Source organism: Homo sapiens, chromosome 13 (genome assembly GCF_000001405.40).
Source record: "Homo sapiens chromosome 13, GRCh38.p14 Primary Assembly".
NCBI classification, from domain to species: Eukaryota; Metazoa; Chordata; class Mammalia; order Primates; family Hominidae; genus Homo; species Homo sapiens.
The window spans coordinates 35812754-35825640 of NC_000013.11; the positions used below are offsets into that span (position 1 = coordinate 35812754).

The 12887-nt window shown below is 39.7% G+C and overlaps 1 protein-coding gene across 6 annotated transcripts in view; it reads right to left on the minus strand.

Annotated features, from left to right (window-relative positions):
* Positions 1–12887, minus strand: part of DCLK1 (doublecortin like kinase 1) — a 363288-nt gene that overhangs the window by 44102 nt on the left and 306299 nt on the right. For all 6 annotated transcript variants that reach the window (NM_001330072.2, NM_001330071.2, NM_004734.5 and 3 more), the window contains one exon: positions 9976–10122. In NM_001330072.2, coding sequence (NP_001317001.1) covers positions 9976–10122 — 147 coding nt within the window. The remainder of the gene's footprint in view (positions 1–9975; positions 10123–12887) is intronic.

The window sequence follows — 12887 nt, forward strand, 5'->3', positions numbered from 1 at the left end:
CAAGTTTGGGCTGCCCTCTGGCAGGTATCCGAAGATTTGTGAGGTCACCTGTGATTGGGTTGTTAGGGCAAAAACAGCCATATGTCCCTCACAGATGTGGCTTTGCCCAGCTGTCATCTGGGACGGACATTTTCTTCCTAACTTAATGAAGCAGCTGTCCAGCCTTGGTCACTTAGAGTTAAGTTAAAAACTTTGAGGCATCACAGCTGCAAAACACAACATCGGCCCCAGCCTAACTGTTCTTAGGCAAAAGAAAACCCTAAGTTGTAGTCTTACCACGTCAGCCATTCTGGTCATCCAAATGACAAGCAAATGTTTTTCATGAAAAGAAATCTGAGATGGAAACATCTAGTAGATGGTCTCGTTGATTTCCGAGGCAGAGCAGAATTGTTTACTTCCTTAATTCCATTTTGTTAACAATAACCTTTCTAAAATGCAAAATAATCTCCTGCTTTGATGTTCTGCTAGGTCCAAACATTCATTCTGTGTGCTTTGTGAGGTGATGCAGATTGTAATTTATTCAACCCACTTGATGCAGGAATTTTGTAGCTTTTTTCTTAAACACAGTATCTACACCACCTAACTGTACTCAAAAGTTTGACAAAAGCAGATGTTGGTGGATTCAGTCATAAGTCCCATTTTAGTTCTAAATATGACCTTGTAATTCTCCTATATGTAGGAAAAGTTTTCTTTTCGAACATCTACATTTTAATAGAAATTCCATCTAACATATAGCCATAGACCAATTATATTTAATATGAATGAAAAATATAGTTCAAAGTTTCAATAACTAAGAAAAAATCACTAAAAATCTTCCTTAAAATAAAGAAAATGAGTACTAATACAAAATGATTATTAAAAGTAATAATAAGTCTACGAAAATGAAAACCATTGAAATACATAGAACCATAATTGTGATGTTCTTTTTATTCCCTGTACAATGGTCTTTTAATCACTTGCACAGTGCCCCGCCCCGCTTTTTTTTTTTTTTTTTTTGCTTTAAAAACCACACAGTAGGATTTTTGTGAACATAAAGAGGTTCAAGGGACACTCAGGAGAGAAAATAAGAGCTTAAAGACAAAGGCCAATTCCATGTAATTGAAACCATATCTAGACACAAGTACATTTGAAATGCTGCAAAAAAAAAATGTTTTTGCAGGTGAATAAATGTCCAGTCCTCTAGTTTGGAATTCTGTTTAACTCACTGTCAGGCAGGGCAGGAAACAAGGTCACTCTGTTTTTTTTCTCTGTCAACACTTTGGGAGGAGGATGGAGAAGAATATACTTCAGTGTTTCTTCTCCAGTGGGAGAGCCCTTCCCTCAGTGGTTTAAGAAGCCCTCTCTCAACGGGGACTCTTCATTAGCACCTGCTACGGCCTGAGCTACGTGCACCCTTATCTCTTACTGAGCCAGTTACACAGGGGCATGACTGAGGCCATGTGAAAATATAATTAAACGTTTGTTAAAAATTCACAGATTGCTAAATACACCCATTTAAAGCCTGCACGCGCGCACACACGCACACACACACAGCCTCACAAAACCATCTCCAGAAAGTATTATTCCAAATGGCAGCCATAAATCCACTTTGAACTAAATTTTTAATTAAAAGTTAGAAATCAGAAAGGCTTCTAACAAGTTCACATTGAAAATGCCAAATCCTTGGCTTAGACTGCTCTCTGGATTGACTTGTTACTTGGCGTTCCTCCTTATTCTGACCATCTTTCAGAAAGGGCATGAGCAGGCTGCAAGCGCAGGCTTGGACAGGCTGGTCCAGCTAGTGGAGCTGTGGTGTAAGAACTTTTTGCCATAACTGTATTTTAAAGCCTCTATAAAATGTGACCCACACGTGAAGTGGGAGTACATTAATTGTCAGTCAAGGAGTATTCACAACATGAGGTATGATTTAATGTTCATCCCTGGTCCTTTAAGTACTATAGATGTTCCCCCACATTTTAAACACTGAGGGGCTATTAAAGGGACAGGGATTAGTGCAAATTACCCAGTATGTAGTGCTTTCACTGTTTTAACTAAGCAATAAAACTGTGTAATTGTACAACACTAATTGAATGCAGCTACACATAATTGTGGGCTGCCATATGTATCATATTACCATAAAGACTGTCAGTATTTTGTAAGCTACTCTTGGGATCATTGCAGATGGCTACAGTCGGAGAAGTTGTTCTCTAGGGTTTATTATATGGCTATAAAGACATCCTATGATTTGACAGACTAAATGTGTTAAATGGCAACAATTATGAAAAAGGTTCCAATTAAAACCTGAAGGCATATCCAACCAAGAACAGATATAACGAAAGGTCAGGTATGTAGATTTTGGGGCACACTGGTATTTTGCACAGGATTGTTTTTGAAAGGAGGGTTTTATTTTTGTTTCTTTTTTGTTTATTTGGGGTTTTGCATTAGCTACAACTTACTGAACAGTAGATCTTTAGGCATATGCTTGATTTCCCTTGGATGGGAAACTGAGACCATTTGGAAAAATTATTTGAAAAAATAAAACATTTAATATATAGTCATAAAATGCAGCTGGTGGCCATAAAATAATATGAAAATTCACAGATAACCTGAACCCAGTCAAAAGGTTTCTGAGATTCCCATAATATGGCACTAAAAGCTGACTAATGTAACAGATGTGTTGGAACAAACGTAATTCTCAGTGTTTCTACGAATCCAAGGGTAACCCTGATGAAACGTTGGCTAATGAATTATTAGTAACCACTGAAAACTATTTCACAGAGGAGCTCAGTAGGAACTAAAAATTATTTCACCAAATAGAATTGAACAAAAGTGGCATGAAATTGACAAAGCCATGAAAAAACGTCAATTTACTTTTTAACATATACGGTATCCCTTTAAAAAGACATTGATTTTCCTCTTGCTACGGTATATGGCCTTTATGATGCTTTCTGAGGAAAATGGCTTAAATTTAAATCTTTAATCTTTAAGAAATGAAATATAACAACATTTAAGCAGGGAGTTATTTTATAGAATGCATTTTATGGCCCATGTACTTTTGAATTAAATCTCCTGGAAAAACATAATAAAAAAATTTATACCTACATGTAAAATATTTATGAAATCAAAAATTAAATGAAATAATAAAAATAATGAATGTTGTGCAGATGTTAGAAAGGAGTAAGTCAGAAGAGAGGTAATTAAACGAAAAAGTAAAATTGCTCTTCAATATTACACTGGAGATATCTGGGAAGATGGAGAAGTGAACGGAAACTCCAGGAAACCTGATTCTCACCCTCAATTTAAAATAGTCATGAAACTATCTTAAAAGGAGTTCTATGCAGCTGCAGCGAGATACACAAAACATGCACATTCCGGATTCTGTTAGGAATTATACATCCCAGGATTTTGCCAAAACTGTGGGAACTCAATGCCACTGCAATTTTAAAAAACGTTATTACATTTCTGTCACACAATTATTATCCAATATGTCATAGTAGGAAAATGATCACTATAGACGAAAAGGAACTAAACTCACCCATAATCTTGACACTCAGAAATAAACACTGTTCATATTTTGGGACATGGACTTCCAGAGCTTTCTTTCTCTCCTTCCTATCCTTCTTTTTCCATTGAACAACATATCCTGAATGTTTTTCCGAAGTGAATCGCATATATCTATACAATTACTCTCAGTGGCTGCAGGATATTCCATATGGCACCATATTAGTAATCCCAACAGTTACTATTACCACTGTCATTTATTGTACACACAGGACATACCAGGCATTGTGATGAAGACTTCATGTGCATTTTGGCCCATTTGATCTTCATACCAGCCCTATTAATTTAGCACTCTTACTCATATTTTGCAGATGAGAAAATTGAGATTCGAAGATGTAAAGTAATTTACCCAGTGTTACACAGCAAATAAGTGGCAGGGCCAGAACTTAAACTCAGATATGTCTGAGTCCAAGAGTCTAACCAGGATGTCCTGCCACTACTGGTGGTCTAACCACCATTGTGCCACTATTTAATTCATCAGTGCCCTGAGATAACTTATCTCCATATATACCGTTTGGGTTTTTTTTCCTCATACTGCAAAACCCTGATGTGAACATCCCTCTGGATAGCTACATATCCAGTTTCTTCCTCTTAGGTTACATTTCTAGAAGTAGAATTACTTGGTCACAAGGCACACATGTTATTGAAGGTTTTGGTTATATATTACCAAATTGCCTCTCTGACAGGTTCCACCAAGTGACTCTCCCACCAACACATATGAGATAACTGTTATCCTCTTAACTTTGCCATCATTGTATGTTATTTTTAATTTTTGCTAGTCTGATAAGGCTGTGCCATTTTAGAAAGAAATGAGTGTCATCTCTTAATGACAGCAGAAAGGAGCAGTGAATTAGACAAACACAGACCCACCAAGGTGACACAAGGTGAAAATCAATGTCTTCTTAAAGGGATACCTTTTCCTTCCTGTCCTCATCTCCCTGATGAAATCACAGGTCTTTGAACAAGAGGCCCAGTAAACACTTAGTACAGTAACTGGCCAATTACGGTACTAAATAATGCTTTGGGAAAATGTTGCGTCTTCTATTTTCCCTCAACTTCCATGCAAATTCAGAGAGTAGAATTTTTTTTCTAAACACCCCCAAAAAAAGGATCGTTCAGTTTCTGCCCGGACACTCACAATGACTACAAGCTACCAGTAATAAAGGACATTTAAATTTCAAAGAAATTAGATTATTAAAAAGTTTTTCTAAAGTTAACCCTAAATCTCTTGCCCACTAATATCTTCTCTTTAATTTTAGTTCCATGCTGTCATATACAGTACAAGAAAGTTATCCCGTCCTCCATGTGGCAGCCTTTCCTATATTTGATGAGAATCACCATGCCCCAAGTGGTACATCCCTTCTCTGGGTCAACCCCAGGCCCAGACAGAATGTGTTCAGAGTATTACCATAAGGGGTACCATGGTAAGCCACACCAAGGACTCTCCTGACTCTTTCAGGGAAAGAAGTCTAAGGGCATATGAATATTTTTAGCAGGCTTGTCATACTGAGACTCACACTGAACGAACAGCCTTCTCCAGGTCAACTAATAGCCTTTTGACCTGCAGTCAGGCCAAGTATTCCATTACTGTTTCTGAAATTGACAATAACACAACTACACCAAAACTAACTTAGTCTCTAGGGATTTATGTTTATCTCTTGTTTAATTTCTTCTTACCAGTTTTGGACCTTTATAGAGCCAAAAATATTTTTGGATTTCACTTCTGTCATTGGTATAATTCATCTTCATTTGAAGTCACTGGTAATGATGAATAGGGCAGGATTGGGGCCAGACTCACAGAAGATCACTGGCTCCCTTCCTTTGGGTAACCTCCAATCCATTAGTCAATACACTCTGAGGGCTCAAGTTCTGTGTTTTTGTCCATGACCTCTAGACCCATTCTCTCTGTGGCACTCATCTTGTCCACCAGTGCAGTTAGCTATCCTATCACCAAATGGATTTATTTGGAGAATTAAGAGTCATGGGATTAAGGTGAAGGAAATATGTTATCTTGTGAGCATGGAATTGAAAACTAGGAAGAGCTGGAGCACAACCTGTCATCGTCATTTGGGTGGAACAGGACTAGCTTATTGCTAGATATAATCCACTGCGTGAAAACAAGGACCATGAGTTGCACGTGTCATTTTGATGGGCAGCTGGGAGCAGGCACAAACACTTGAACACAGAGTTTCTAGCCAAGGAGAGGCAGTTTTTCTCCTGCAGGGTCTTGGGGACTTTGGGAGGGAAAAGATTTTTGAATGTTTATATTTGAAGAAAACGACTATGTTTGTTTCTGGAATCTAATAAAAACTAGTGATGTGAGTTATAGTTTGGTTAGTAAAGATTTACTTTTCATAAGGAGGAGGCATCTGTGTACACATTTTTGAAAGACCTGCCCAGGTCCTTGAAAGAAACACAAGCTGCTACTGATGGTTTTTATTGCTAAGGGTACAAGCTTGCCATCTAGTGGTGACTTGTGTAAACTGAAGGTATTAATTTTTTTTTTTTTAATTAAGCAAAAAGTTCCTTTAGTCATGAACCATCATGGCATGCATACACACATACATATACACATACACACATACACGCATACATACACAGTGGTCCCATGCCTAAGCCCATCTGGAGAAGCATCATACTTTCTCCCACTGCTCAGTGAAGTTTACACTGAGGCCAGTGTGAGAACTCCGTCTAACAGGCCAGTTGGGAATGTTTTGGGCTTGCCAGGCGGCTCTGTCCTCTGTTCATAGAAGTATCACTCATTCACTCACTCACTCCACTCATCCACTCTGACGTCCACCTGTCCATACAATTATTAAGTACCAGGCATGACAACCAGTAAAGCAACAAGAACCATGTAAAATCATGGGCATGATCAATTTGGGGGGAAAAACTTTAGTTAAATACAACAATAAATTTATAAGGGGTATTTTTTATTGGGTCAATGCCCAGTTTTCACCTAAAATGTGGCTGAAAACATCCCTGTAAGTCAAATCATATTTTCTCATCAAAATACTTTAACCCAACCAAACACTAGAGTTAAATAAATCATTCATACAATCAATATAGATCCTTAAGACCAGGCTACATTTTTATGCTGTTCTATAAGAATTAAAAATAAAAAACGCTAAAAGTTCTACATACACAATTATACTGTGTACAATGAAATCTATAGCTGAATTAGATATGTATTAAAAATACTTTGCTAGTTATAACAAATATTAATCTAACACTTAGCTAACAAAAATCTTGTTGTCAGTCTTACAATTTAGAAGGGTTTTATAAGCCTTTTAATAACGTAGTAAAACAAAGTATGCTGTGAGGTCTTTTTATGTATTTGATAAGTTTCCCTATAATAAGTAAATGGATTCCAAATCTTTATATTAACTTTATTATAACATTTTCAAAAAATAGTCTATAGCTTTACATTTTGCCATGAGGTGGCAAATCCATGCACAGGTGAATAGTAAAATTTCTAAAGCAATATAAAAAAAAAAGGGTTAAAAAGTGATTTTCACTACATATATTATCGTTAGGCAGTTTTATTTTAAGGAATACTTTAATTTCATTTTTAATTACAAAGAAAGGGGAAATTTTCAAAAGAAAATTAATAGTTATGTTATCTTCATCAAATCCCCTTAAAGATAAAGGCTTGAAGGAGGTACCTTCCTCAAGGTCATAAGACCAGGCAGTGGAAGAGTGAACCGCTTGGTTTTGAACTTTTGTCCATCTGACTATAAATCCTGGGTGTGTGAGGGTCTACCTTCTGTGATGGTTCTCTTATTTCCACAACTCTCAATAGAATGTGAAATCAACAGTGGTCTCATGTGCAATTAGTGACATCATCCTAGTTTTGTTAAACCAGGACAGAATAAGTTGTGTTAAGTTTTGCTAAACTTATTTGAACTATTTTATCCTATAATAGACTTATCCCTGCAAAATTCACCAACCCCTAATCCCTACCATCAGAAATCACTGTAAAGGAGAATAAAATCTCGTTAGTTTTTCATATAGATATTTTAAAACCACATTATAAATGACTGCAATTGTTTCTCCATATAGTTCAGCTTCTTAAATTAGAAGAGAAGGGAAAAAGAAAGGAGAGAACATTTTTTTTCTTTTGTGGTAATTTAAAGTAAAATATATTTGAATGAGCATAATACATTAGAAGTATCACGTAAACTGTAATTTTAGTAAAAGTGCACTCCAATGTAATCACTTATGGCATTTACAGAAAGAGATAACACTTCAGCGAGGAGTAAGTGAACAATGGGTACACAAAACTGAGCAGCAAAAGCAAAAAGGAAAGAAAATGAAACTTTAATTTTCAGTCGCTGAAGTTTGGGAGCTTAGAGAAGTTTTTAAACAAAGGCCCAGTTGTAAGTCTGTTCCCATGAGACAATCCTACATAATTCAAGACACAGGAAAAATGAGTGCAGATGAGAGAAAATTGCTGCAGTTGATGGAGGTAACTATGCAGAAGAATATGTTTAGGCTACTGTGAAGATGAGGAATTTAAGGTGCAATTAAGTCAGGGCTCAGTCACTTGACCTCAGCTGCCTTTTATTAGCCAGTAGCTACAAGATTACCAGCATAATTGCAATTAACTAATTGTGTGCATATTTGTTTCTTGAATGCTTATCTTTTCTGCTTCAGCGTCAACTTCATGAAGACATGTGTCTCTCTTGTTCCCTGGCACAGTACCTGACACATAGCAAGTACTCAGTTAACCTCTCCTTAATGCAGAGCTTACTGTAGTGTAGTAGTATGAGCTAAGGCTCTGGAAGTCAGAATTAGGTTGAGACCTTGGCTCTTCTACTTAAGAGCTGTGACAACCGTGGGCAGGTCATTTAACTTCTAGGTACCCATGTTCCTTACCTATGAAATGAAACAGTAATAGAACTTACCCAATGTGGTTGCTGTGAGGATGAAACGAGATAATGACTGTAAAGACGTTAGCACAGGGCCAAGTACATAGATGGTTCTCCATCATGGCGGATCTTACTAGCTTTTATTTGTGTCATGGGAGTTGGGTGGCTCATCTGCTTTTAGACTTGAGTGTGTATGCGGGTTACCTGGGGGAGGTGGCTGCCTTGTGGATTTCTGCAAGCTGTCATCAGTCACTGGATTCTGATTTGGTAGGGCTGCATCTAGGCCCAGAAATTTGCATTTTTAACAGGCATCTGGGAATAATTTTGATTCAGGGAGTCTTTAGACCACCCTGCAGAAACACTACTTTAGAAAGAGAATCCTCTTTTCCCAGATTTCTGAAGAGACGGGCAAAGTAACAGAACTCATATATTTATACATAATGCTCAGGGGTGGATAATGAAAGGAAGAACTAGCATCTTTGGGAAAAGATATATATATAAATATATGTATATATATATATATATATGCACAGTATATAGAAATGAAATATATTTCATTAAATTCCAGCCTGAAGAGCCAGCAACATTTATATTACTCCCATATTTCCCAGTGAAGCACCCCATACTTAGTCTCTACCTCCTCTTTTTTTCCTATGTATTCCCCTTAATAACTGGGTGAGGAAGGACCCCCATTTGCTTTTGTGGAGATCTCTCAAGGTTTCCCCAGAGATGTGGAGTAAATGAAAAGCAAACCAAATAGTGTAAAGTTGGGGGAAGGATGTCTCCGTTTTTAAAAATTAGTCTTTTTCAAAATTGTTTTTATGCTAAGGGGCTAGAGTCTTAAAAACCAATTATAATTTTTTTTTCTTTTAGGTTTTGGATCATATTATTGAGCTGTAAAGTTGGGAGACTCCAAAAAAGTCTAAAAGGGCTTCCTTTTTTTTTCCCCAAGTAAAAACTTCTTTTTACTTTTCTTTTCTTTCTTTTCTCTCTCTCTTTCTTTCAAGACAGGGTCTCACTCTGTCACCCAGACTGGAGTGCAGTAGTGTGATCACAGCTCACTGCAGCCTTGACCTCCTGGGCTCAAGAGATCCTCCAGCAACCTCAGCCTCCTGAGTAGCTGGGACTACAGGCACACACTACGATGTCCGGCTAATTAAAAAAAATTTTTTTTGTGTAGAGATGGGGGTCTCACTATGTTGCCCCAACTGGCAAGTAAAAACTTTCTAACATAAAAGTGCCTAAGATAAATGACATTTGTGTCTGTGTAACTTGTCGCTATCTTGTCCTAGCCCAAGGTGTTCAATACAGCCCTACCCTTCGCGAGTTCAATTCCCATTCTTGTGCCTGGTTTTTGTTTGCTAATAAATCAGGTGTTCTTAAGGGCGCATTAACTCATCTAGATCAACCTAAAAGGCTAGTTTCCAACTAGCTCCTGAAGGCTAACTGGAAATTAACCTTTCAGGTAAATTTTTAAAAAAAGAAAGAAAAGAAAAAAGAAATATTCATATTCCTTCATGAGTGCTTGGAACTCAGGATGCCCTGTAGGTGGAATTCCTCTTACCAGCAGGTTCTCTGGCTTGATATCACGGTGGACGATGTTCAGGCTATGCAGGTATTTGATGGCGCTGGCTAGGTTGTACAGCATCCCACTGGCGTCTCTCTCGGTGTATTTGTTAGTGGAAGTAATGGCATCAAAAAGGTCTCCCCCCTGAGAAGAGAACAGAAGCTGAAGCAGCACATTAACAGACGGGCCAGTGGGGCCACCTGCAGAGGCCATTGACAAACCCCAAAGGACAGGAAGAATGGATGTGGAATCTTTGGGTTCCTAAAGGCTTTTCCTGCTACTTTCCTTTCAAAGGCTCGAAGGCTGAATGGTGATTTCTCCACCCACTACAAAAACCAGTGGCATCTCCCCCAGAGCTCAAAGAAAGGGGCAGCGTGAGGATTCTCCACCACCAGACACATGGCCATTTCCACAGATCCCAGCTAGGGGACGAGGAGATGCAGCTAGATCTCCAGGGCAGAGGACTGTGACACGTGAAGATCCCAGTGGCATGTGCTACCTGCCTCACATTGACTGCCAGCCAGAGTTCAAATTTGTAATCCTTCACCTCCTCCAGTGAGGAACAGGTAATACTGCAAACTGCACACTGAAAATGTTCTACTGCCTAGTGAAATTATTAGGATGCACACACACACACACACACACACACACAATCCCCTTCATACACTAGATTTAGCTCTCTGAGAGTGGGCATAGTGTTTTCTTTTTCAATATTGTGCTCCTTTGTAAGGAACAGAGAAAAAGACCAGAAACTTCATTTCAAAGTTGAGTGAGAGAAGGAGGGAGGAAGGGGGGGAAATCTCAAAGAAAGTTTTCTAGGACTGTCATTCATCTGAACTTTTGTTTCCTTTGCTCCTTTTTAAATATATTGCTTTTTGGTAAAATGGAATGATTTTTAAGTTCCAACCTAAGTTCCATTTATTCAAAAATCCTTTCAGAGAATTGGGGTCTGATTTACTATCAATATGTGCATCATGCTTGCCTACAGTGTACCAAACCGCTATGCACAGTAACCAACTGTGATCATCTGTTACCTAATGCGCTAAGGAACTCAGTTTTCTTTTTAAAATAGCTAAAGCAAAAGATAGCCCCTGTAGGCTGATGATTTTCAAATCTGCCTCTCGGGCCTGGGCCCTCTGTGCCCCTGTACAGTCTCCACTCTGGAGACTTCTCTCACTGTCCCCCAAGCTGCAACGGTTCTCAAGCTAACCACACAAATTTTTTTTTTCAAAGCAAATAGTTTTTTCAACTTTCTGCTTCTCTCAAAGGTAAGGCTGCTACACACAGGTTTTCAGGTTGTCTCTGTGCCACTTGAGGAGGTGGGACAGTCACCGTGGTCTATGTGAACAGCACCCCTGGAGTTCCACCACAGGGCATGTGTGGCTGTATATGGAGACCCTGCAAAGATTCCACCAGTCCCAGTTATCTGGGCTCCTGGCATCTTGTAATGTCCTTTTTAATAAGAGATAAGGTCTTGCTTTGTCACCCAGGCTGGAGTGCAGTAGCACAATCATGGCTCACTGCAGCCTCAGACTCCTGGGCTCAAGTGATCCTCCTGTCTCAGCCTCCAGAGTAGCGGGAACCACAGGAGCAGGCCATCATGCTTGGCTAATTATTATTATTTTTTTTGTAGAGATGAGGCTTCGCTTTGTTGCCCAGGCTGGTCTCCAACTCCTGGCCTCAAGTGATCTTCCTGCCTTGGCCTCCCAAAATGCTGGGATTACATGCGTGAGCCACTGCGTCTGGCTCCTTTCTTCTTTGTCCTCAACAATGCAGTCAACAGGTCTTATCGGTCCTTTCTTGGACACGTTTTTCCTTCGCAGCCATCTGGGCCTTCCTACTCCGCCAAACGCTCCTGTTGCCTCATCCCTGGGTTGTTGTCATGTGGTCTCACAATCCGTTCTGCTTCCCTCCGTGAGCTCCTTATCCAAAGCATCCTGCACACCGACTGCTACCTTCCCACACATTATGTCGCTATTTTCTTTCTCTCTTCAAGAAATCACCATTCTTTTCCCACAGCCGAAAGGAGGAGGCTTTCTATATTCTGCCCCAACCTTCATTCCACCCTGTTTAATTTCCTGTCTTGCCACTACTTAACATAGTGACCCTCACACTCCAGGATATTTCTTCCCTAGCCATCCAAACAGGCCAAGATCTCTGTCCTCAAGCCTGTCCTCATGACAGCGCCCTTCCTGAAGTGTCCCATCCCCTCCCCTTCAGTTTTCTAACTCCCGTTGCTCTCTCAGGGCCCAGCTGCAGGCCCAGCTCCTCCACGAGGCCTGCCTTCCTCTGAACACATAGGCAGCCTGCGTGTGCACCGCCTCTGGAGGCAGAAGGCTAAAGTCCTGTGCCTGATGAGCATGGAATTTCATTCTCATTAACTGCCGATCCACTGCCGTCCGGAACATGAGCCTTGTTTGTCTGAGAGCTTCAGGCATTCTTTGGGACATCCCTGGGCCCTGAGGGTTTGAGAAGCATACCCCACCCACATGTCTCAGTGGAAAAGTCCTGGGAGTCTTTCAAGTCAAGCCTGGGGCTGGCCTTCACTTCCCTGGGAAGCTTCTCGAGCTGTCCTCAGGGCGTTCTGGGTGAGATTAAATCGAAGGGTATGGTCTTGCAGCACAATTGAGGGTCCCAGCGCTGGGCTACAGAGACCTTCTATGGCCTTTCTAGGGTATCTTGGTGATGTAGAGAGAATTCACAAAGGCAGTTAAGTGCAACGAGGACCTTACCATAGTCTCCTAACCAAGCACACGATTGACAGACTAAGATTTCTCACCAAATGCGTTCAGAGTGCCTAAGCCTTTGCCATCTTGAAATTTCATTTAGTCTCAGCACTCCAAAAATCAGCCAACAGTGGGGGTAAGTCAATAATAACGGGGGGTAATCAAATTCTAACAGCACATAGA